The following is a 26,159-nucleotide window of genomic DNA, read 5'->3' on the forward strand; positions in this document are numbered from 1 at the left end:
GTTTCATCCTCAGGACACAACTGCCATAGCTAACATGGAATGCAAAATAATTCTTAATGGAGTACTCTGGCCTTAGCGTTATAATTCAACTACACCAGTCACTAAATGAATTATTTATTTATTTATTATGATTATACTTTAAGTTTTAGGGTACATGTGCACAAAGTGCAGGTTAGTTACATATGTATACATGTGCCATGCTGGTGTGCTGCACCCACTAACTCGTCATCTAGCATTAGGTATATCTCCCAATGCTATACCTCCCCCCTCCCCCCACCCCACAACAGTCCCCAGAGTGTGATGTTCCCCTTCCTGTGTCCGTGTGTTCTCATTGTTCAATTCCCATCTATGAGTGAGAATATGCGGTGTTTGGTTTTTTGTTCTTGCGATAGTTTACTGAGAATGATGATTTCCAATTTCATCCATGTCCCTACAAAGGACATGAACTCATCATTTTTTATGGCTGCATAGTATTCCATGGTGTATATGTGCCACATTTTCTTAATCCAGTCTATCATTGTTGGACATTTGGGTTGGTTCCAAGTCTTTGCTATTGTGAATAACGCCGCAATAAACATACATGTGTATGTACTAAATGAATTTTAAAACATATCACATATATTTAGTATATTTATATTCCTAGCAAGAACTCTACAAAGAAATGATTTTTACCCCAGTTTTACATATAAGGAAACTGAAGCAGAAAGATATTGAATAACTTGTCCACACACCCTGTAAGGATTTGAACTGGGACTTGAACCCAGTGGCTCCTGTTCACAAAAATAGTGCCTACTTGTCTTTGTCCTTCCTACTTACATGTGAATGACAAAGACCTTCAAGACTGCAAACACTCCATAAAAGAGTAGAGGTAATACTAGTTAATGTGGCTAGCCTCTTACCCAAGAGTGCTCTTCTAGAAATCTATTCCTAAGAAATAGTTATCATTGCATATCAAAGTTTATACACAAAAATGTTATTCATATTGGCAAAAATATACTTCAAAGAACCTAAATATCAAATAATAGAGATTGAATAAACCATGGTGCATACAATAGAATATTTTCAGATAATTTTGATAAGAAAATGCTTATTATACAATGTTGAGTTAAAAACAGGAGAATGCAAGGTTAGATAGCATGACTCAAATATACATATCTACAGACATGTACATCTGTGCAAGTATATATAGGAAAAATAGAAGGAAATGAATCAAAATGTTAAATATGTTTATTGTTGGGCCTACATTTGTCTATCTTGTCTTTATTTTCCAAACTTTCCCATGTTAGTTGCAGTTACTTTTGTGATTTTTAAAAAGCCAATAAAAACCATTAAAAAGAAAATTACATGTAGCTTTTGAAAAGGTAAGAAGAAAAATAGATAAGCCAACATAAGAAAGGTACTTGGGAGACTAGTGTCTCGTTGCCTGCAGTCACCAAATAAGGCAGGCAGTGGAGAGAGTTCCACTCTCTCTCTACAAGAAAGTTTCCACTTTGTGGGTTCTATAAAAAAGGGATTTGCGGGTTTGGGAAATTGTTCATTTCACAGCTACATTCACACAGGTTTTCAAGGACACCACTGGTGCCATCTTCTAAGAAATAGAAAAAAAAAAACCACTTTAGGGAAAGTAGAATATATCCACCATTTATAAAAAGATCCAGGAAAAAGAAAATCAAAAGTAATGTACTTGAATGCAGAAATTTAAAATAAATAAAACAGGGCAGTGAAGTGATTCAATATAATACTACAATGGTAGATACATGTCATTATACATTTGTCAAAATCTATAAACCAAACATTAAGAGTGAACCCTCATGTAAACCATGGACTCTAGGGGATAATAATGTGTCAATGTAGTCTCAGTGATGGTAACAAATGGACCACTCTAGTGCCAGACGCTGATAGCAGGGAAGGTCTTTGCATGGTGGTGGGGAGAAGAGGATATATCAGAGCTCTGTACTTTCTGCTCAATTTTTCTGTGAACCTAAAATTCTCAAAAATATAGTTCATTAATTTAAAACATTTTTTAAAAAGTGAAAATGGAATTTTCCTGTAAACTCTAACACAATTCTCTAATCATTTGAAATTTAAGCTATGAAATCATTGAAGAGATTTAATTGGATTAACTTAATTTGGATTAGATTTGATGCAATTGGATTGAAGTGAATTAGAATTTTAATATATGCCTCTATATTGTATGCTTACATTCCTTAGGAGGAGGGAAAATTATTTTTAGGGAATGTTTGTGTGCATGTGCATATGCATGGATAGATGATTGACAGATGGATACAAGATACATAGATACGTGTGTGTGTGTGTGTATATATATGTATATATATATATATATACACACACACACACACATATATATATTCACTATGCATTTAACAGAACACCTGGTCGGACACTGGTGCTAGCTACTAACGATAAAAACAACTAAAGGTAAATTATTGTACTTTAAGAGATTGCAGCCTATCAGAGACACAGGCATGCAAACAGTCAGGAGTACCCTCTACTCACATAGATGCTGTGTGCTGTATTAACTCTGGGGGTCGGGGGTGGGAAGGCAAGGCATCTACTTTGTAGATTAGGGAATGAATGCTATTACTTGGAGTTGCTCAGAAGTCCTATAAGAAGTTACAAAACAAAAAGAAGAGTGGGCTGTGGGGACATTGATGAGTAGGCACCCAGTCTTTAAGGAAATGACAGAGGCATCACGTATCAGATGACACAGGACTTGAGATTAATAGAATGTTAAGAAAGAAGTCATGTTCCAGCACCAGCAAAATCAGGGCTGGGGAAAAGACAGATTTCCATATTTCTAGAAAGTAATATGCAAGGTGAGTAGTAACCCGAGATAAACTAGAGGAGCATGCAGGGACCAGGTGGTGAGAATATAGAGAGTAAAAGTTGTATCCCAGAGGGAGTGAAGAGATGTGAAGAGTTTTGAATAAAGACATGACCTGATTAGATTTTTTTTTTTTTTTTTTTTTTTTTTTTGTGGAGACAGTCTTTCTCTGTTGCCCAGGCTGGAGTGCAGTGGTGCCATCTTGGCTCACTGCAAGCTCTGCCTCCTGGGTTTAAGCTATTCTGCTGCCTCAGCCTCCTGAATAGCTGGGATTACAGGTACCCACCACCATGCCTTGATAATTTATGTAGTTTTAGTAGAGATGGTGTTTCCCTATATTGGCCAGGCTGGTCTTGAACTTCTGACCTCAGGTGATCTGCCTGACTCGGCCTCCCAAAGTCCTGGGATTACAGGCATGAGCCACCGCGCCCAGCCCTGATTAGATTTTTACATTGGATAAATAATCCTTGGGTAGCAAGGAGAGATTCCATACTAGAGACAGGAAGATAAGGAAGTCAATATTGCAGTAATCTAAGTGAAAATAATGAAGGCTCAAACTAGGACAAGTGGTGCAGTGGGGAGAAGAGGAGGAAACAGGCCCTGAGCTGTTGAGGAGTAAGAGTCCTGGGGCTTAGTGACTAACGAATGTGATGGTGAGAGACAAATAGTGGTAGTCTTCTCCGAAGGAGAGAACATAAGGAACATGTTCAAGGGAAGAGATGAGCAGCCTAGTTTTAGACATGTTGACTTAGTGCCTAGATGGCATTCATGTGAAAATGTCCACATGACAATGGGCTATTTAAATCTCACTTCCCTTTCACTGACACTGAAGAACTGGTGACTTCAGGATCTATATAGCCCCCCTATATTTGTATGTGACACATGTCAGGGAACCATGCAACTTGCAGAGGGAAGTGGCCTGGCAGTTCAGGGCCAACTTTCACCAAGGGAGCAGGGAAGACTGACGCTAGCCCTGACCAAGGTGAGCACTGAGCTTACTTACTCTCTTCTAAGGCATCCATCCTTTGCTGTCAGGCTGATTTTCTGGAAAATGCTGGCAGGATAGAGCATGTATCTTCTGATCAGGAGGATGTTTAGCTTGTGTCCTCATATTTGCAAAGAATATGGATGAAGCCAGGTAGGTTTACAGTTAGCATTTGAAAACATCTAATTAGGAAAAAGAAATAAGTACCACCTACCTTCCTATACCAGTATCAAAAGCACATTTATTAAGAATATATTTAGATGAAACTCCCTGGTGGTCATTCCATAAAAATCATTAAACTCTATCCATCATCCATCAGAATTTAGAGAACAGTACTTCAACTGTAAAATAAGCCAACATGAACAACCACCCTCAGGCTAAAGTGATTGAACATGACAAACACAAATATCAAAGTATGTAGTGTGAGAAATGGCCAGCTCAGAGTAAAACATGGAGGCAAACAAATACATATACATGAAGAAATAGTCATTTCCCTATCAAGCTATTAAGAAAAGTATCATTGAAGACAATACTTTTGCTATTTGTAGAATGATGAGCCTGGGTTTCTGGGAATAGAACTTTCCACAATAAAAAAAGTAGCCTGGTAATGGCTTGTAAGAAGGTATAAGATAACCTGATAAAAGGGGAATTGTGTTAATTTGCTTAGGGAGAGGGAACATGTTACATCTTCGAGGTAGAGAATGGGGATCATAGTTGCAACTCTCAATAGGAAGGCATTTTGATAACAGCTACTACAGATCTATTGTCTGCGCTCAATATTAGAAATTGCAATCCAAATATGTAAGTTAGGAGCACATGTGAAACCACCCCATATTATGCCTTGTTAAACAGAAGTAAATTTTGAATTACATGAGTTTTATTATGCAATCTCCTCAGGCTTCATTGTAGTGTTGTGACTTCTATTGTAAGTTTCCAATTTTCAAGAATAATGACAACGTACTTAAGCTTGCCTATTTTATGAAATAATACATTTCTATTTCAGGTGAGAAATAAGCTGCATGATGAACTCCTGAAGAAGGAAATTACATTCATTTCCTTCATTACAATATTTCTGCTACAAAATGTTAGTACAATGAGCATGTTTGTAACTGCAACCAGACAACTTTCACCACTAGTAATTATAGGGGTAGAACAGGTTTCACAAAATGGAGTGAAACAGGACAAAAGAACAGAGCCAATGAGGTTAGGGTCTGACAGCTGGTAGGATATCAGCCTAATGTAAAGTTTTGGTTTGCTGTGCTGGCGCTCAGCGTAGATTTATTAAGAGGGTTCTTTGGGGATGTCAGCCTCAGCCACTGTGACAGCAACATTACTATTACCAGATGATGCTGAGTCTTAGGATTGTTAGAGTCAGTTAAGTTTTCTGACTGTCTGGATTATAAGCAGTGGGAATCTATATAACATTTTCAAAGTTATTGATTTAGAAAAGTCACTGATCAAAAAGCAGGCGAAAATTCAGTGCTAACACCAAAAAAAAAAAAAAAAAATCACAAAGATAGAGATAATGTTAGGAGGAATTATATTTATTCCAGTACTTGGGTAGAAAATCAACTAAAATCTTGGACAAGTGAAATAAAATGAAATACAATGAAAACTGGAAGGGAATAAAACAAATCTCTGCTGAGTGCTTAATTAAACCTAGGAGGAAAGACAAAGTCAAACTGAATTAATAGAATATTTGCTATTGATGCTATTTATAACCTTGATTCAGAATCTTGAAATTTTCATTAATAAGGTATATCCCTAAATTCTAACCATTTCCACAAAGCTACAAACTAACAAAAATTTTACAAAATGCTTTAGAACAATATTTTAAATAATTTTTAAAAAATGGAATGGAAGATTGAAATTGAAATGTGGAGAAAAATAAATAATGCTTACCTGCCATAAATTCTGAGATTTATCCCTACTTACCCCTTTTCCTAGGCAAAATGAGAGGGGAATAATAAGGCCCTGGAGAGGTGAGTGACTTCAGTTCTTTGGAAGGTCATTGCTGTGTGGAGGAGCTGGGTGCTCATACAAAAATGACTGCACTGTCAATTCAAGGGGTATGTGTTTGGTCATTTATGTCAGAGGGGCTCGGTCTGATAATGTTAAGAAGTGAGATGTTAGGCTGGGCGCGGTGGCTCATGCCTGTAATCCCAGCACTTTGGGAGGCCAAGACGGGCAGATCACCTGAGGTCAGGAGTTCAAGACCAGCCTGACCAACATAGTGAAACCCAGTCTCTACTAAAACTACAAAAATTAGCCGGGCGTGGTGATGGGCACCTGTAGTCTCAGCTACTCGGGAGGCTGAGGCAGGAGACTCATTTGATCCTGGGAGGGCAGAGGTTGTGGTGAGCCGAGATTGTGCCACTATACTCCAAGCTGGGAAACAGAGCAAGACTCCGTCTCAAAAGAAAAAGTGAGATGTTACGCTGCTGACAGCATCGCTTGCCTTATGTGAATTCATGACTTCAGACTACCTGCACGACATGTTTTTCCCCTTTAAAAAGAGAAAAAGTGTGGTACTTTTAGAAGTATGAAGGAAAAACCCAAGCTGAATGTGGATAACTAACTCTTAGGATCTTTATAATATTTTAATCTAAAATCAATGAGTTCCTCCTTTTTAAGAGTTTTATAAATTTATGTCACAGTAAAATAAGAATGAGAATGTTACAAGAATGTTGAATATAATGTAATTATGGTAGGATAAGGAAATAGGTAGTAAGGAGCATGATTTTTCTCTCACTCATTGTCCATCCCTCCAACGACCCTACTTGCTTTCGGGCTCAGAGAAGTAGGTCCCTTTTTGGCCCACTTGGAGATCACGAAAACTTTGCTGGCAAACAAAAGGGGCAACGTCTTAATTTTCAATCCTTAATTTAAAATGGAAAGAGTTACGAAGCAGACAAATGTGACTGAGGGGAAAAAAATTGTCTGTTCTTTCTGCCTTCTCTAGGCAAATATGAGCAAGGAAGAAAGGAAGAGAAAAGTTGAAATGTTAGGTGCAAGTGTGGGGAGCTCTATACCTCAAGCCTCCTTCCACAGGTGGATGGAGAGTTGAGGAAGGGCACCTCACAAACATATCTGTCTTAGCTCTGGCTACTATAACAAAGTACCATAGACAGAGTAGCTTATAGACAACAGACATTTATTCCTCACAGTTCTGGAAGCTGGAAGTCAAGATCAGGATGCCAGCATGGTCGAGTTCTGGCAAAGGCCCTCTTCCAGACTGCAGACTGGTAGAAAGAGACAGACATCTCTGGGGTCCTTTTTATAAGGACACTAATCCTATTCATGAGAGCTTCACCCTCAGGACCTCATTTCCTTCCAAGCTTCCACCATCACATTAGGGGTTAGGATTTCAACATATGAATTTATGAACATAAACATTCAGTCCATAACAATATCTATCTCTTCAAGTATCTTCTTTCTCTTTGCCCCCTTTCATTTTGGTGATCTAAGAGTAACCTGTGTCTTCTGTTCTAGGATGTTACCAGCTTCCCAGAGAAATCACCCACCCCACTCAGTTGGCATGGCCAATAAAGTCAGAACATAGCACTACAGTAGGGAGGAGAGGATTGGAGAAAGGCTTCTTGGCCCTAGTGTGGGTCTTACAATTAGATAAAGTATCGTATTAGATGGCTATGTGACGGGCGTTCCCCACTGGAAATCTGAATCCGTGGCTTCATCTCAGCCAAATCTCAGCTGCAGAGTTGAGTAAGCTTCCCAAGACCATCCCTGCCCTTGAAAGGTGGAGGTTCATAACCTGTGCTGAGAACCTGGCAGGATGAACCAAGGCTAAGAAGTCAACACATTTCCATTCACCACCATGGCAGCATTGTGAGAAAGGCAAGAAGCGAACATCTTGAAATGACTGAGTTTAAAACTGGGAATGGCTAAAAAATCCCTTAGCTTACCTGATATGATGAGACTAATTTTCTACATCAAGTTAAAAAAAATGAGTAGGCTTCAAGTTAGAAATTAATGTTAGCATTTGAAAGTGAAAGAAGTTTCACCTGCATGCTGCGAGCTTTGTGCCTGCTGCTATAATAATGTTTCAAACAGGCTGTATGGGGGATCTCTGTCCTTCTCCCTCATTTGCTCCTGGATAATCATTTGGCTGCCACTGAAGCAGCGATCTGAGTTGTGCGGCAGCCAAGAAAATCTCAGATCCTGTGTTTGCTAATTGGACGTAGCAATTCATGCTCAGGGGCAACCAGTAAAATGGGCTTCACTCTGCCAGAATTGTTTTGGCTTGCATTTTTGGGTTAGTCACACTCCCAGTTCTCTGACCCCTGAAGTATCTTCCTGGCCAATAGCATCCCGATTCTCCACCCAGACATAGGGAATGCTCATTGCACTATATCTGGAGATGCCAAGGCCTTCTGTGGAAGATGAGGGTTTGCAGTTGGACAGAGCTTTTGTATTTTTCTGAAACTTGTTCACTTTAGAATAGAGTTAATATGATAATCAATTCACAAGAAACTAGAAGTCATAAACATTAGACAATAATATTCTGGCATATATTTCCACTTTAGAGATAATATAAATCATAGCTTGCAAGTCAAATTAGTGAAACAGGTGGCTCAACGATAAGACTTTAGGTTTAATTAAAATTAAATAACCTTTAGTTATGAAATTATAAAATGGAGGTCCAGATGATCACCTGTGCCTGACCTGTGCAGTGGATGCTTAGATTATTAAAGGATGTTTGGGAAAATGAGAAAACAATTACATTGGATCTTCAAATTACTCCTGAAGATTTACAATTTTTCTCTCTATATAAAGTTTGAAGTAGAGAACATTACCATAAAGAGAAAATTACTCTAGTTATTTAGAACTTTAAATAAGTCAGTTCTTCAAATCAAACATTTATTCAAAGCTCTTTGATTTGAAGGGTATTTATAGTTTTCCTAATTAGGGTATAACAACTAACAAAGTTTACATTTTGATTACTTTTCAATAGGACTTTTTTGGCATTTACTGTTTGATTTCTACAGCATGTCTTACTTTCCTCCATTTTACAAAGAGATATGTGTAAATGGAGGGGTTAAATTACGTGGTAGGTGCTATGTTGGCTACACTGGAGCTAAAAGGAACTCCTGCCTTCTGGTCCAGAGTCTACTGATTCATTTTTCCTCGATCAACTGTCCTCTGCCTCAGGGATGCCACAGAGAAGAAAACCAAGTCCTTTACACATAAACGTATGGTGCCTTAGGTAGTGGTTAGAGCTAAGGGGAAAAATAAGTACAGGCAGGGGGACTGGGGTGAACATGGGAAGTGCCTATGTGTGTGTGTTGGGGGAAGGGAAATTGTATTAGTCTGTTCTTATGCTGCTAATAAAGACAAACCCAAGACAGGGTAATTTATAAAGAAAAGAGGTTTAATGGACTCACCATTCCACATGGCTGGGGAGGCCTCACAATTATGGCAGAAGGCAAAGGAGAAGCAAAGCCACGTCTTTTATGGTGGAAGGCAAGCGAGCTTGTGTAGGGTAACTCCCATTTATAAAACCATCAGATCTCGTGGGATTTATTCACTACAACAAGAACAGTATGGAGAAAACCCACCCCCATGATTTAATTATCTCCACCTGGCTCCACCCTTGACACGTGGGGATTATTACAATTCAAAGTGAGATTTGGGTGGGGGCACAGCCAAACCATATCAGAAATTACTCCTAGTTTATGAGAAAAAGTCAAGGAGTGCTATATTGATGAGGTGACATCAATGTCAGTTTCTCACATCACCAATTTGTCACAAATGGTCAAGGACGAGAAGAAAATGTGGAAATGGATCCTGCAAATATCTAGGGGAAGAGAAGTATAGGCCAGGGATTATCCAGCCCACTACCTGTTTTTGTAAATAAAGTTTCACTGGAACACAGCCAAGCACAGTTGTTTACATATTATCTACGGCTGTATTTGCACAGTTTGTGCAACACTGGCACTGTTGCAATGTGGTTGCAACTTGGGCTGTATGTGGCCCCCAAAACTGAAAATATTTACTATCTAGCTCATTAAAGAAAAGGTTTGCTTACTACTGGTTTACACAGAGGCAATAACAAATGCAAAGCCCCGAGGCTGCTTGATATCATCAAGGAACAGCAAGAAAGCAAGTGTGGCTATGTTGGGATGGGCAAGGGGAGAGGGAGAGTAGGTAAGGACAGAGTAGAGAGTGGGGACTGGATCCTATAGCACCTTTATAGGCCATTGTAAAGAACTTTGACTTTTACTTAGAGGGAGATAAGGATGCTGAGTACAGAACTGACATGACATATTTTAACTTCAGCACTCTCTTTAGAGTAGATGACATGGTTCTAGGGATGGTGGCTCAGGCCTGTAATCTCAGCCCTTTGGGAGACTTGAGGCCATGAGCTTGCACAACATAGAGAGACCTCATCTCTAGAGAAAATATAAAAATTAGCTGTGGTGGTGCATGTCTGTAGTCCCAGCTACTCAGGAGACTGAGGCAGGAGGATTGCTTAAACCCAGGTGTTCAAAGTTGCAATGAGATATAATCACACCACTGCACTCTAGAGTGAGACCCTGTCTCAAATTTAAAAAACAACAACAACAAAAACTTGACTAGGTGAAAGGGGGTTTGTTTAACATATACTGCAATCACCCATATGAAAAATGATTCTGGCCTGAACCAAAGTATGAGGGTGGAGACTGTGAGAACTTGTTGAATTCTGAAAATATTGTAAGGATAGAGCTAACAGGATTTGCCAATGGACTTAAAATAGAGGTATGTGTGTGATGGCCAGGGGTGAGAGGTGAGGAGAGCAGGTGATCAGAGGTTACTGATGTGAGCCTGAACATCTGAGAGGGTAGAATCACCATTAACAGACATAGGAAGATTTTGGGAGGTGTAAGGTATAGATTGAAGTTGGAAGTGAAGAATTTAGTTTGGACATTAAATTTTACATGGCTTTTGGATATAAGCTTCTTATATAAATGAAAAGCATACACAAATAAAATCTGGAGTTCAGGGAAGAAGTTTGAAGTAAACATACAAATTTGGGAGTCATCAATGTTTAGATAATATTTAAGTCATCTTAATATCTTAAGTCACCTAGAGAATGGTTATAGACGTTAAAGAGAATGATTTTATTAGTTATCACTTAATACATGTGACAATTTTGAGCTAGGAACTAAAGTTTGCTATGTAATCTTACAACACTTTACTTAGGTATTTGTATGCTCATTTTACACACGAGGAAATGAAAAGTGTGAAGTGACTTGTCTGACTCTACTTAGCTAGCGAAATGTTAGAGGAGGCAGTAGGCAGACATGAGCAGAGCGGGAGAGGTCCCCCCGACCCAACCTTCCTTCCAGGAATGTCAGGTAATGGGCAGGCAAATTGTTAAACTGTCTCGCTAAAATAATAATTGATTGCAGCTAGTGCTAAGGAAAGGCCATGTCCCAACAGATAGAAAACACCTGAAGATGGTGATCAGCAGCTTCCCAGTAAGATCTCAGGAGTTGGTTGAGTGGGCTCAAACATGCACACTAAGAGGCAAAATAGCAGTGTTTAAGTGGTCTATGGTATATGACGTTCCTTTAGGAACACTGAATGGTAAGGGAAAAACATCTCAGATGAGCCTGTGCACAACTTCAGTAAACACACTGAGCACGCTCACCTCCCAAGTGCTGGCAGGCCACTGTGCACGCGGACAGCCTGCCTCAGGGAAAAATCAAGAGAGGGGAGATGCAAAAGCCCAGAACCATATCAACATGTAAAAGCTCAAGTCAAAGGTCAAACCGGGCACCTGGATCTCTCAAGTTGCCTGTATGGCCCTCTTCAGATTGTTCTTTACTTCCTTTTATTCCTACTCTAAAACTTCTTTTTTTTTTTTTTTGAGACGGAGTCTCACTCTGTTGCCCAGGCTGGAGTGCAGTGGTGCAATCTCGGCTCACTGCAACCTCCGCCTCCCAGGTTGAAGCGATTCTACTGTCTCAGCCTCCTGAGTAGCTGGAATTACAGGCACGCCCCATCATGCCTGGCTAATTTTTGTATTTTTAGTAGAGACGAGGTTTCACCATGTTGGCCAGGCTGGTCTCGAACTCCTGACCTCAGGTGATCCGCCCACCTCGGCCTCCCAAAGTGCTGAGATAGCCACCATACTTGGCCCAAAACTTCTTGATGAACTCCTGCTCAAAAGCTTCCCTCGGTCTATCTGTTTTATGCCCCTCAGTTGAATTCTTTCCTCTGAAGAGGCAAGAACCGAGCTGCTGCAGACACATACAGGCTCACCACTGCTAACAACAGGATCTAGGTATGTCTGCCTTAGCGGTCTGAGACCTCACTGTTATGTCATGACATAAGAAATAGAAATACAAAAGACTGAGCATCAGTAGCAAATATTTGAATAGTTGAACAAAAAAACAAATACTGAAGTAGGTAGCACATTGACACCAATATTGTCACCGGGTGGGTACCTCTCCTCTATGTCTCAATTGCAGTGAGACACCTCTTTAAGGAAACCACTAGACTGGTAAACTATGATAATGTTCTCATGGAACTTCCTCCTCAATTTCCTGAATTTAACAAACCCTCTCATCATGAATAAGCAGAACATTTCTAGCTTAAGAGGCAGCCACTGCCTAGGAATTTATGTATCAATGATATGCACATTTTAGGCAAACTACAGATTACTAAATTTGGATGCTCTTGTAGGTCACTGGACACATCCTATATTAAGTTAGAAAAAACAAACTTCATGACTGAAAAGTAAATATGAATCATTTGAAATAATACAGGGCAGAGAATGTGACTCATTGATAGATGTAACCCACAGTGTCACTAAAATCTTCACGGTGTTTCCTTTACCCTCACAAATCTATTGGCCCTAATCAAAAATGTTTTTGGTTGACTGATAGTCTCAAACTACTTTGTTTTCACTTTCTTCTCAAAAGTGCAGTCATATCCAGCTGCTAAAAAATGATGTGAAGCAAAGAAACAGCCTGGTATCCCTTTTCTTTTTCTTCCTATAGTCTTGGAATGAAAGGATCATTTCTTATTTCATCACAACAAAAATGGAAAGAGGCATGGCACTCCATGCTGAAGGGTGAATAGTGACTATCTTGTATGCAAATGTGAAAACCCCCATTTACTTTAATTATGAAGCCACACCTTGAGGTTATACTGTCATTACGGTTATGAGGAAACCAAGGAAGGGAAGTTGTACTGGGGGCCTGTTGAACAAGGAGATTAAGTCTTGGTACAAATATTTGGGTCATGCTGACCTGGATGAAATTTAGTGGGAGTAGTTAGAGGTTCTGAATGAGTGACAAGGGATTGAATGATTTCAGGGAACTGCCTCCTCCACCCGCCACGTTTTCCAACCCTAAGAGTTCTATCCTTGGAGGCCCATGCTCTGGGACCAAGTACCGTGGTGATGAGTATATGCCCAGTGGGAGAGTGTTTCTACAGAGTGTGAAATGAGACAGAGTAATTATCCTCAGGAGAATAAAAACATGCCTTTGACATTGGGTTTGTCTTACCTTTCGGGGATTCTGCTTCCCTACCACTAAATTGCCATCCCATTGGTTACCAAAACCAAGTTGAATCATGTTTGTATTCCCCACAACATCCAGCAAGATACCTGTCACATAGTAGGCCCACAGTTAATGTTTGTGGGATGAAATACTAATGCTCACCCTGCTGGCAGGTAAACAAACACTAAGATTCAGACTTTTGATCCTCTATCTTGGAAAATGCACTAACACTATTACCTTCCATCCCTCCCTTGCTTTATAGACTTTAATCATTTTGTGTCCCCAACATCACGATTATTTTTTTCTCTCGATTTATTTATGGGCCAGGAATAGATTGGAACTAAAATACCAAAGTGTAAGTAGTTACATTGCTTGTCCTTCCTTTGTAAAGAATATTCGTTCTTTGTGCTTCTGACCTATTCACCATTTTTTCCCTTCCTGATTAGCTAAGGCTATCAGCTGAGTGTCAGGGAGAAGGGAGTATATAGTGCTACATAAGAAAATATATAGAACAGAACAGTCTAGGAGGTGAGATGAGGGGGTATTTGGAGAGAGCAAGTAAGCCATCCAGCAAAGGCTGGGCTTTCTGAGGAGAGAGGGACATGGGGGTGGCGGGGGAGTATTTGAAAAACTGCCCTGAGCTGGGGTAGAAGGTGGTGGGGAAGCTGATAAAAGGGTGAAGAGAACTCAGAGGATGTTTTTCTATGCTAAGTGTTTTATCTTCCTTCAAAAGTGGCCTTAACAGATTAAAACAATATCTAAATTGTTTTCCAAGTCTTTGGAGCTAGGGGTGTGTGTGTGTGTGTGTGTGTGTGTGTGTGTGTGTTTGCATGAAAGAGAGAAAGAGAGAGAGTATGCTGAGAATTAAAAGGCCCAGTTTTATTTGGGGTAGAGTCCATATTTTTTATATTCATTTTACTAACATTTTGGTTTACTAACATTTTGGTTAACTAACATGTTACCAGGTAATTTAATGGAGATTTTGCATTTAAAAAATTGCATTCCTAAAGGAACTTAGTTTGTGCCATTGGTCATAGAATCAGGAACAGTGTGATGGCTACTAAAGGTGGAATTGGGACTAGGGAAGTGTGAAAATAGAATAATAGAATGCCATAAAAAAAGAGCAGCTGATGCGGAAGCCTAAAGGTAGTTAGGAGGCCAGAAATTTACCCCAAAGTGGAAGCTGTTTGACCCGGGCTGGGGGAAGCAGGTACTCCAGTTTTAGGTCTGCAGGTACATTATCTTTGGACCAAGTGTGTAGTGTTTCCTACAAACACATTTTAAAAAATCCATTCTGAGTTTAAAGCTAGATACCTAGTCCTGCTTGGAGGAACTCCATCCCATGGATACAGACTGTGCTTTCCTACCTTCTGCAAAAAACTTCTAAGAGTTAATTAGCATCCTTTGCATGTTTTCATTGTTAGTATTAATATGATTCTCTTGGCTCTGATGGGTCTTTAGAGAAAGTGTTCCCACCCTCCTTATGTTAAGGTTTTTGTTTTGGTCCTTTTTGATTTCTTATGTGGTAATCTTTAGGGTTGACCAGAAAGAAAAGAGTTTGCATCTAAATGTTCCACAGTTCAGTGACTAAGAGGGGTGACACAGCCCCAGAGCCTACGATGGCAGGCACTGTTACATCGGTCTCAATTAACACTGTCTCACTGGGCTGCCCTGTCAGGCAACTCTCTCTGAGGGGAAAAAGCAGACAGTTTTCTATTAGTATGTTGGTGTTTAGTTACTGACCTATTTTTCAGATGAAGAGTACTACTTTGCGTGCTGCATAGTTTTTAATTAAAAAAAAAAAGATGGCCAGGCGCTGTGGCTCATGCCTGTAATCCTAACACCTTGGGAGACCAAGCTGGGAGGATCGCTTGAGGTCAGGAGTTCAAGAGCAGCCTGGCCAATATGGTGAAACCCCATCTCTACTAAAAATACAAAAATTAGCCGGGCATGGTGGCGGGTGCCTGTAATCCCAGCTTCTCAGGAGGCTGAGACAGGAGAATCGCTTGAACCAGGGAGGCGGAGGTTGCAATGAGCTGAGATCGGGACACTGCACTCCAGCCTGGGCGACAGCCCTCAGAATCACACTTGGTGTGCTTGGCCTGCCCTTTGAGAATACTTTTTAGAAGTAATATGATATACGATTAGTCGCTGTCTATATATAAATATATATATAGGTGCGAATCCAGGGGTGGAATGCGGGATGCAGTGGAAGGAGGCAGTGAAGGTGAGGAAGGAACAAAATATTAACTTACACTGCTGTTTCAAGCTTATTTCATTACCACAGTATATTAGCTGTGAGTAATTCCATAAGGAACAAGCTTTATTGCTTGCTCTTTAGTCCACAAATCAAATTTTAATGAGTTATTTGAAAAGAAAAGCAAACCCTTTGGGAAAAGTTTAGCAAAATGTTCAATGTATTTACAATAATATTCAAATCCTAAAATATTAAAATTAAGACTAGTGGGAGCATTATTTCTTACCTCAGATACTCTTCCCATTTTAGAAATACCATTCCCATTGTAGAAACAGCACTTGAAATATATGAAGATGTATCAAGCAATTTCTGATTGCCTGATCAGGGTCTAGGTTTTTAGAATTTGACGTTATTTTTCACTCATATTATATATTAATGCCTACTAATTTACATTTAACTGTACATTTGGTTCTATTAGTTTTGTTTTGCACTTCTGGAATTTTCTCTTCACTCGGACTTTCTGACCCTTGTCTAGACATTTTCGTCTATAGTTTAATTACACCCTTACAAATAATATTAAATATTAAATTACAGAGGTAATCTCTGCAATAGTCAAGGCTCACTAACATCTGCCTGATCTGTTTTTGTAGAAAGGCCAGAGCTTATAAAATATCACAATGGGCCGGGCGTGGTGGCTCACACCTGTAATCCCAGCACTTTGGGAGGCCAAGGTGGGCAGATCACTTGAGGTCAGGAGTTCAAGACCAGCCTGGCCAACACGGTGAAACCCCGTCTCTACTAAAAATACAAAGATTAGCCAGGTGTGGTGGCGCATGCCTGTAGTCCCAGCTACTTGGGAGGCTGAGTCATGAGAATCACTTGCACTTGGGAGGCGGAGGTTGCAGTGAGCCAAGATCACGCCACTGCACTCCATCCTGGGTGACAGAGTGAGACTTGGCATCAAAAAAATAAAAAAAGTTCAAGACCAGCCTGACCAACATGGAGAAACCCCCTCTTTACCATAAATCCAAAAAAATTAGCCAGGCATGGTGGTGCATGCCTGGAATCCCAGCTACTTGGGAGGCTGAGTCAGGAGAATTGCTTGAACCCAGGAGGCGGAGGTTGGGGTGAGCTGAGATCATGCCATTGCACTCCAGCCTGGGCAACAAGAGTGAAACTCCATCTTAAAAAAATAAAAATCATAATATAGTGGATTGCTAGTTCCCAGATGAGTCTTGTGCATTTAGCTAATGATATTTGTTGAGTCCACTGAGGAACAAATGGTAACCAGAAATTAGTCAGGAGTCACAATTGTGGAAATGAAATTGTAGTACCACACTTTGAAGTGCTCAGGCCAAAACTCGAGGCATCATATTTACCTCTCCTGTCTCTGATACCCCCATACCATCAGCAAATCCGTTTGGCTCTACCATTAAAATATAACCCCGAATCTAACCCCCTGTGCACTACAATCACTTTTAACCATTCTGGTCCAAGCCACCAACCCCTTGCTGGATTATTGCAGCCATCTCTTCACTGTAGGAAGAACTGACAGTAGAAGGTAAAAATGGTGAGTGACAGATGGCTGCAATGATCTCTACTTTCTTTTACAATTAGATGCAAGTTGTATCTAAACTGCTATCAGAATATTTGATTGCAAAAACCAGAAATATAACCAAACTACTTAACGCAAAGAAGGAAAGAATGTCTCAAGTTTCCATAAAGCATAAGATTCGGGAACCAGAAAGTCAGAAATCAAGATTCTACTCTCGACCTCCTTGGGTCACTGGTGGTCATTCTCTGTCATCTCTGTGTCTGCTCCATCCTCCCGAGTTCTGTCTAAGAATGGGTACACTCAGCTGTGGTGTGTAGGAAATAAAACACACTACCTAGCCCTAGGACAACATGGCTTCCTCCTCATTCAGATTAATTTGTAATTTTGTAATCCAGTTCCAAATTCCCAGAAGATTATCTCTTGGCTTGCCTTATTTCTGGTTTCAGTCTCAGATCCTAGTGGTTTGGACCAGGAAACAAGGGGACCTGATTAAAATAGAGTTGCCCAGGCCCGTCATTTAGCAGGGGCTAGGGAACTCATTCAGAAAAGGTGGCTTGAACTAGACAAACCAACTAATTAACATCTGTGCTGCAATTTCCAAATAATTTAAATTCAATAGTCTATTAAACTATGTAGTGAATTAATTATTGTCATGCACACAGCCTTCAGGACTCAATAAACTGAAACTAAGTCAATAAAAATGAATGCTAGCAAGTGAGGTAGATTTGTTCTACTTTCCAGAAAGCTTTTGCCATTAAATAATTTCTCATTAAAATGTTTATTTTCAGTTTCTGCCTTCTCCATCTCAATCAGCATCCAGCTTACCTTTGCGATCTGTACCAGGTCCTGCATTAGTCTGGTAACCTTTAAACTGGATAATGAGGACTGATAGATTCAGAAATGTTATGAATTCTTGGTCTTTAGTCTTCTGCACCTGTCAATTTCATATGCTAACATTCTTTTAGTGTATGTGTAGTTTCGTTTTCTTAAAAAGTTGTCTTATTATTTTCATTGTGTTGGCAGAATATTTTTTAGTGCCACCTTGACTCAGCTAAATGTAAGATATATATTTATAATTTGTCAGTAGTATACTATTACATCATCACCTTATGGTCCATTCTTCAAACAGGTAAGAAATAATTTCATTCAGGAGAATGTCACCTAAAGGCAGAAGCTATTGAATTGCTTGAAATCAACATACTTACTCATTCATTCAAATAAAACAAATAAACACAACTTTTCTGAGAAATTATGATGGGTAAAATTCTCTGTTTTGTGCTCAATTTAAAAATGAATAATATAGATTATTTAGTTTAATGTATTTAATTCTAAACTTAAAATGTTTAATTCCAAATAAAATTCTCAAAATTTCAGTTCTAATTTGAAAAAACAAATTGATTAATTCTAACTGACTTATAAGAATTACTGTGAGTTTGAGGATCGATTATTTTACCTTTGCTATAATAAAGGTCGTTATTTTGGGCCATTGTTGGTTTTGGCCATTTGGATTTTCGGATAAGTCCCCGTGTCTCTGAGCACAGAGGATGGACTGCAAGTTCACAAAGGTAGGCTATATCCATCTTAAATTCCAGGTATTCACTAAGAACTGAAATTTTGAGAATGTCAGAATGAGTTCATAACCTGATGGAAAAGATAGAGTATAGAAATAAAAACAAACATTCTAGAGTCAGAAGTAGGAAACTGGCTTAAATTGGTGACTCTTTGAAGTCCCCTTTACCTCAAGGACCCTGATAGAATAGGAAACTGACATTTTTGAGTGTCTACAGAGTACTAAGCAATGCAGTACAAACTTTTCATATTCTTTCTTTTCCCCCTCCAGTTCATGCTCATAAATTTCTAAGAAGGTGGTATTAATCTCATTTTAAACCTGAGGAATCTGATCCCTAGAAAAATTTAAAATTTGCCCAAGATTACACATATTACCATGGCCTGGACTGAAGTTCATGGCTGGCTGACAACAAAGCCTATATTTTCCCACTACACCACAAAGCCTCTCAACAAGAAGTTGTCTTTTTTTTCTAGAAAGTTTTATAATCCAATGATGAAAAATTATCCAATAGATTTATTTTAGACCTAGGTAAGTAAAAAGGCAGATCATACAATTCTATGGGGTTGTGATCTGTCTGTTTTGCAATTTCCCCCTGTGGAATCACATGTACTTTTAAAAAGCTCTCAAGGTAATTCTGAGGCTCTCTTCCCCATTGTCTTCCAATGGTCTTTGCCTCCTGTTCGCTAGGTCTGCTCCTCCTTATCCGGCATGATCTATGGTGGGCGTCACCATGTCCAAGCCTTCCTGGCCAGTTAAGTGGCCCTCTGCCGTCCTCCTTCATTATTCCATCATTGGACTCATCACATCGTTTTACAATTACTATTTATGTTAAAAGTCGTCTCCGTTAGACCGTAGTGAGCTTGCTGAAAGCAAGGATTGCATTTTCGTGTCTTTAGTACCTAGCACACCGCCTGACAACAAAATGTTAGAGAACTAAATTAATAAAAAATTCAGAGCCACTTGGAAATAGTTTAGGAATGTCCTCACATTTGTTTTCTTGGTCGTTGCACCCAGCGAATCAACTAATTCAATAAATATTAAACGACAAATCAAAATTTTGTAGGTTCCAAATGCAAGACATCGTCCTGGGATGCGGAAGCTGCAGAGTGGACTACATTTCCCGAAATCCCTGGGCCCAGTCGTAGTTGGTTCGCTGACTGCTTTTGAATGCTGGTTAACTCAACCAATAGGGTGACGAGAATTTCCCTAAAGGAGAGGGAGCCGACCTCACAAAGAAGAGGGCGGGTGCTTCTGACAGGTTTGGAACTTAAAAAAACCCTTTGTGGCGGTTCCGTGGCTTTTCCGCAGACCAGAGCGCGCGAGGAGTCATTCGCTAGGAACCTGTCCCCCTCTCCCCGAATTAGGATTAGTCTTCCTGCACTTCCTTCCTTCCTTACGTCTTTCCTATTTCCACATCCTTCCTAATCAAGTACCTGTGCTTCCGTCCACCTGTCCTGTTGAACGCACTCTCCGGGGGGTTTCCCCGGCACAATCTCTTGTCTGTCTTTTCCAACTTGAGCCAGGCATTTGTCTCCAAGCATTCACGCGAGATGGGCAGTGCGGCCTCGGAAAGATCTGAGCAAAAACTTCATCCTATCCCCCTTTCCCCGTTCTAGAGTGAAGCTCCCAGGGCATTACTGAGTGGCTCATCAGCGTCAGGGCAGATTGAAGGTTCTGAAAAATAGTGGCAGCGCGGCGTTTCCTGCCACCCGCGCTCCTCCCCGGCGAGGGGCTGGGTGCGGGGTAGTGTCATCGGCCCGGGCTGACACCGGCCCTGGAACCGTTCCCCGCTGGCAGCCTCTTCCATCCCAGCAGCTAACTGCTAAGACCAGACACGTTCCACCAACAGTAACAGCTGTAGGAAAGAACCCGTTTTTTCCCGTCTAGGTTTCTCTCCTTTTCCTAGTACCTAAGTCCATCATCCTCCTGCCACTGACATATCGTTGTCTAGACGCTCTTTTTCAAAACTCAAATCCAATCAAACAAAAACAACGCCCGTCAATAAAGCAAGAAAAATAATACTGCAGCCAGCGGCCAGGAGCGTGCACCCCATTAACGGCGAGAAAGCATCAACCCCTGCTGTAATGACTGAATTGGAAAGAAAGGTTTCCTGCTGCTTGTTAGTCGTCAACATTTTTACTATGCCAGCTGCAAGAGAAGCAGCTGCATACTCTGGCAACTCGACTGGGGTGGGAGAAATTTAGCCAGCGTCTGGGATTTTCGCAGAAGATAATTTAAGCCCCAGCTTCGCTCGGGCTGGGGGGCTGGGGGCCTGCTGGGCCAGGGTGGGGGAACCGGGCTGCGGCGCGCATGCGCAGGTACCGCAGCCCGGCTCCTGGGAGGCCCTGCTGCCGCCACCGCCGCGGCCCGCGCTGTAACCGCGGCTGCCGCTGCTGCTCCGGGCGGGCGTTGGTGCCGTGTGCCGAGGCGCCCTGTCAGGCGATGGGGAGCGGCTGGGCGGGGAGAGCCGACGGCCGCGGCGGCGCCTGAGGAACGCAGCCGGGCTCGGGAGCGGCGAGGGCGGGCCGGTCCAGCGGCGGAGGAGCGAGGCGGGGCGAGGCAGGCGGCGCGGGGACCCACACCAGGCGCCTTGTGTGCGAGGCCGAGCGGCGGCCGCGGACAGAGAGCCGGCGACCCCCGGCAGGAGGAGAAGGAGCCGGAGGACGCGCCGAGGGACTGCGGGGCCGGGGCGGGCGAGCAGCGGCGCGGCCGCGGGCCATGGACGCAGCGGCGACGGTGGCGGCGCCGGGGGCGAGCCGGGGCGGCGGCGCGGCGCAGAGTCCGCCCGCGGCCAGGTGAGGCTGGGCTGAGCGGGCTCGGGCGCCGCCGCCACTGCTGCTGCTGCTGCTGCCGGGCCGCGGAGCGAGGCGGCGGCGGCGGCGGCTGAATCGGCACCACAGCAGCCGCGCCAAGCAGCGGCGGCCTCGGAGGAAGAGGGGTCGCCGCCCAGGTTTCTTGCGGCCGCCGCTCTTGTCGTCGCAGTATTTCCTGTTCGGATTATCTTTTGCTTCCCCCCAGCTGCCTCCTTACCCTCACACTCCCACTCCTCCGTTTCCGCGGTCGAAGCTGCCTTCGGCCCCGGGTGGTCTCCCCCGCCCGGGGACCCCCTGTGCCTCCCCTCCCGGGCTGCGGGGGAGCCCCTCCGAGACCATGAGGAAATTCAACATCAGGAAGGTGCTGGACGGCCTGACCGCCGGCTCGTCCTCGGCGTCGCAGCAGCAACAGCAGCAGCATCCGCCTGGGAACCGGGAGCCGGAGATCCAGGAAACGCTCCAGTCCGAGCACTTTCAGCTCTGCAAGGTGAACGGAGCGCGCAGCCCCGCGACACCGTCATTGAAAAATTGGGGTTGTTTTAAGGGGGCTACTCGGGCTTTACATGGGAATGCAAGGGAAGAGAACGCCAATAATAATAATAATAACTCTAATAAAAGGCTCGCTCCTCCCTTGGCAAACGTTTCTTCGGTGGGTTGTTTTGGAGATTGATACCTTACTCCTTTTCATTGATTTTTCTCTCTCCCCTTTGCACATGCAGCAATCAGTTCAAGGTTGCTTCAAACTATTATCCGACCTTTAATCGTATTCTGACACTGCCAGTAATAACCTGGAAGCTTTTATATTCAAGCGTTTTAATATGATTCACCAACTTCGAAGTTTCCTTTGGAAACGGTGTCTAATGAATGTTGTTTATCAAAAAGCCAAACCTGTTCTACCACACCTTTGCTCATCACTTTTCCCTTAAAATGTGGTGTAAGTGGCTTACGATATGAAATCACAGGGTTCTTTTTATCATTATGTTTGTTAAAAAGTACTGAGATTTTTGCCTGTTAATGGCACGATAATTGCCATAGCGTTCTGTAATTCAGAAAGAATGATGCAGCGAATTAAGTCACCAGCTGCTTAATGAGAAACACAAACTTGCCTCGGTTTTAATACCTGCCTTTCTCATAAATAGCCATGTATTTGTATGTCAGAGTTAATTAAAAGTGTGCATATATATATATATATATATATATATAGGTCTAATGCCCTAAAATGATTATGGCCTTAATAGTAAATTGCAAAAATGTATGTTGTACTCATCTTCATTCTGTTACAAGTGTAAAATGTTGGGATAGAGGTTTGATTATTGCTCTACTGAATGCTTGACTAAAGTAATTATATGACAGCTTTTCCTTAGAAGTACTTGCGTTAGCATCCAAATAAAGTAATGATGAAATGAATACTGCCAAAATAAAGTATGAATTGCATTTAATGGGTTTACAGAATTTTGGACCATTGCAAACTTTAGTCATCTGGTGTCGGATGTAGTAGTATAGAATATTAATAAAAGATTTTCTTCTATGGAATACCAGTATTATGGAAAAGCGAAATTAAAGTATATCACTGGACTAGATTTTTGTTTGTTTCAGGTTCTATGTGAATAACTTTGTTAATGTAGGTTTCACTTATTTTTTCAAAAGCAGTAAGTGCATGTGTATGTGTTTTGCATCAGTGGTAGTGGTTCTAAATTCTAACGCCTCTATTGACTTTCTATTTTAAAATTTCGCTTGCTGCCTTGGTTGCTGTGATGTCACTTGCCCATCCCTAGACTGTTCGCCATGGATTTCCCTATCAACCCTCAGCCCTGGCCTTTGATCCTGTACAGAAGATCCTGGCAGTGGGAACTCAGACTGGTGCTTTAAGGCTGTATCCTTTCTTTAATTTTATTTTTTAACTTCTACTTTGTTCTCCCCAGTCCTTCTGTGTTGCTGATTAGTTCCAAAGAAAGTTTTTATTTTCCTGTTGGTGTGATTAGATATATACTATGAGAAATCATGTGTTGGCTTTTCCCTTGATTATAATTCAGCTTATATACTGCTGTGATGTTTCTCAGCTCCTAGTTTATAGTAGCTAAACATATATCCAAATAGAGGTCTAAAGTTTTTTTATGATAACTATTTTATTTGTAAGGAGATAGAAGTTTCTAAGGAAAAATATATCTGCTTCTATACTATTGGTGTGATGAATGAGGTATGTTAAGGATGAGGTTTAAAGACAATTACTTTTAAAAATATTATGCATGGTAGATATTGAACTTATGACCTATTCTAATAAATTAGAGATTGGATTTCAATCTGAATTTGGTTGTTTTTGGCATGTCCGTGTAGAAAAACAATTAGCAGAAGTGTAGCAAATTAATTTTCTATGAATAGTTATAAATGGTTAATATTTCTACCAGTTTTTAGAGCGTTTTCTTGAAAAATGCATGGGGATAAATTTTTTCTCTTGATATACTTTTTCTCTCATAGTCTACATTTGTTATGTATTTGTAAAAACTGTTAGGTTACTATACATTAAACTAGTAGTATAGAATTACTTTTCCTGGTTGTGTATGAACTATATTAGTTTTATCAAGCATTTTTTTAAATACTTCAAAAGATTTTTTTCAAGATAATTTTTTAGTGAGAACAGTACAGACGACTCACTTTCTATTTTTATGTTGAAATGTGTTTTCTTTTACTGTGACTTTGAAACATACTTAACCTAAATATATTCTTAAACTTAAGATTTGGATTCATCTATCTGTGGGATATCTACCTCCTGCATATTAATGAGTAATGTGTTGGTGATAAATAGAAAAAAAAAATCACTAGATGATTTCAGTAGACATTACTATTGTCAAAAAAAAGAAAAGAAATATACGATAGGGGAGGAGCTTTACCCCTTTATATTTTAGATTTTTCTGGTTCCTGAGAAGGAGTGAGGGAACCTGCATTTGAGTTAAACATGTGCCAGGCATTTTACTTACATTTTAAAGTCATTATTTCAAAGAAGTACTATGTGATACATACAAATATATATATATGTATAGATAGATAGATAGATAATGCCTCAAGTTTTATTTGTCACTTAATGTGCTATCTTCAAAATGCTAATAGAAGTTTTAGGATGGACTATTGAACTGTGTTACTAAGTGAAGTCTACTATACATAGTAAATACTACGCAGTCATACCTTTATAAACGACAAAATCTGACCAGGCTAGATCTGAATCTGTTAATTTCTGAGACGGTGTGTCTGAAGTGCTCTTGCCCAAATATCTAGATAGTTATGACCAGAATGTTTTTTGGCTTCAATTGTTAGATATTTTTATTCCTGAACTCAGTGATCAAGACCATCTAGTTTAGGGTTGTGTGAAGACGGGAATGAAGTTATTTTGTCAGTGTGGGCCCTGAGTGTTCAGCAAAACTCTGTAGTGACGAGACTAGTACAGCGTTGGATCTAGATGCATTCTTTGGAACTGAAAGCAGTTTCTTTTTTTTCCCAACAAGATAATTTCATAACTGGACTAGAAGAAGGAAAGTAAAGTTGAATTAAATCAGCTATTTTTCCCTTATTTTGCTTTTCTGTAAAATGAGTTTAGGTTTTATTGTTTTCCCAGTGTGGTCTCGACATTCTTTTGGTAAATAACCTCTTTTCCTTGTAACATCCAATCTGGCCCTTTTATAATTTAGTATAATTATAAGTGAGTACCACCAGCAAGGCTGATTTTATAAAACCAGATTCTTAGACAACACTTTTACCCTAATGCATTTGTGTAATTAGCAAGTTGGCACAAAAGGTGTAAAGCGTTAGGCCTAGTGTGAATTGCCAATTAAAATCAAGGATCAGGTGGCCAAAATTGTCACTTGTATATAACTTTTGGTGTACTTTCTATAGTTAAATATTATGTGAATAAAAGTGAACCTGTAATTATAGTTTGCAATTATACTCTAAAGTTTTTTTTTAGAACCTCCTTACTAAGAATGAAGTATGGAAAACTGTTTACTAAATTACCTTCTACTTTGCCTTTTTATGAGATTTCTATGGACATTCCAGAGTGCTAAATTGGCTTGCTTGCCAGTAATACCACCTAGTCATTCCTTCTGTTGGGTTTAAGTAGCAGATGAGCTTATGAGCTTTATTTATTATGGTTCTGATTTATAGAAAATGACTAAGCCCTTTTTATTTTATCTCATTTTCCATATATGTGCTTTCAGGTATATGTTAGTGTCTCTTTCTTTGTTATTTTTGAAACTGGACACCTAAATTCCGAATCTCCACATTTGGTTAACGTGCAGATTTACTACAAGTGTGTATATTTTGACTTGGATCTTTTGTATATTTTCCTATTGTAATTGGTTTCTTTTGATCCTTTATTCTCTTCTTGTATTAGACTCTTGTAGTCTGTAACACAGTTATCCTAAAAGATATCATTAGAGCAGAAAATAGACTTCTAGATAAAGTATTTTCCTTGCAGATTGAAAAGTAGGCGATGTTTTCAGAAGTAAGATTAGGCTATTACAATTCCAAATGTGTATGTAATTTGACTGATGAATATCTTCCTAAATGTTAGAAGACTTTACTAAATTGATTTATCTACTCTGGGTTAAAACCAAAAAATCAAAGAAGAAAGATATATCTGATAGCTAATGTTTGTAGACAAGGATTAGTGAAAAATCTTAATCCTTTAATAATAC

The 26,159-nt window shown here is 40.4% G+C and overlaps 1 protein-coding gene and 2 long non-coding RNA genes across 16 annotated transcripts in view, besides 4 other annotated features; 1 reads left to right on the forward strand and 2 right to left on the reverse strand.

Moving 5' to 3' along the window:
- The window catches only part of STXBP5-AS1 (STXBP5 antisense RNA 1), a 363,227-nt gene extending 341,334 nt beyond the window's left edge, over window positions 1–21,893 (reverse strand). The window contains exon 1 of the long non-coding RNA NR_034115.1: window positions 21,692–21,893. This is a non-coding gene — a long non-coding RNA (STXBP5 antisense RNA 1). The remainder of the gene's footprint in view (window positions 1–21,691) is intronic.
- LOC124901422 (uncharacterized) lies at window positions 19,155–20,850 on the reverse strand. Its single transcript, XR_007059803.1, has 2 exons — window positions 20,095–20,850; window positions 19,155–19,572 (listed from the first exon to the last, which is right to left on the reverse strand). It is a non-coding gene; the product is annotated as an uncharacterized LOC124901422 (long non-coding RNA).
- Window positions 20,879–21,298: a silencer, noted in NCBI's record as "silent region_17646". NCBI's record gives its function as "represses an Ori minimal core promoter by ATAC-STARR-seq in GM12878 lymphoblastoid cells {active_cell/tissue: GM12878}" and the evidence as "EXISTENCE:reporter gene assay evidence [ECO:0000049][PMID:35858748]".
- Window positions 21,329–21,378: a silencer, noted in NCBI's record as "silent region_17647". NCBI's record gives its function as "represses an Ori minimal core promoter by ATAC-STARR-seq in GM12878 lymphoblastoid cells {active_cell/tissue: GM12878}" and the evidence as "EXISTENCE:reporter gene assay evidence [ECO:0000049][PMID:35858748]".
- Window positions 21,399–21,478: a silencer, noted in NCBI's record as "silent region_17648". NCBI's record gives its function as "represses an Ori minimal core promoter by ATAC-STARR-seq in GM12878 lymphoblastoid cells {active_cell/tissue: GM12878}" and the evidence as "EXISTENCE:reporter gene assay evidence [ECO:0000049][PMID:35858748]".
- Window positions 21,649–21,838: a silencer, noted in NCBI's record as "silent region_17649". NCBI's record gives its function as "represses an Ori minimal core promoter by ATAC-STARR-seq in GM12878 lymphoblastoid cells {active_cell/tissue: GM12878}" and the evidence as "EXISTENCE:reporter gene assay evidence [ECO:0000049][PMID:35858748]".
- STXBP5 (syntaxin binding protein 5) overlaps window positions 21,696–26,159 on the forward strand; it is a 186,057-nt gene continuing 181,593 nt past the window's right edge. For all 14 annotated transcript variants that reach the window (XR_007059202.1, XR_007059201.1, XR_007059203.1 and 11 more), the window contains exons 1-2: window positions 21,696–21,961; window positions 23,250–23,347. Coding sequence is in view for 11 of the 14 variants with exons in the window: in XM_047418197.1 (XP_047274153.1) it covers window positions 21,812–21,961; window positions 23,250–23,347 (248 nt within the window). In the remaining 3 variants the exon portion in view is untranslated. The remainder of the gene's footprint in view (window positions 21,962–23,249; window positions 23,348–26,159) is intronic.

The sequence above is a fragment of the Homo sapiens genome, chromosome 6, assembly GCF_000001405.40.
Source record: "Homo sapiens chromosome 6, GRCh38.p14 Primary Assembly".
Classification (NCBI taxonomy): Eukaryota; Metazoa; Chordata; class Mammalia; order Primates; family Hominidae; genus Homo; species Homo sapiens.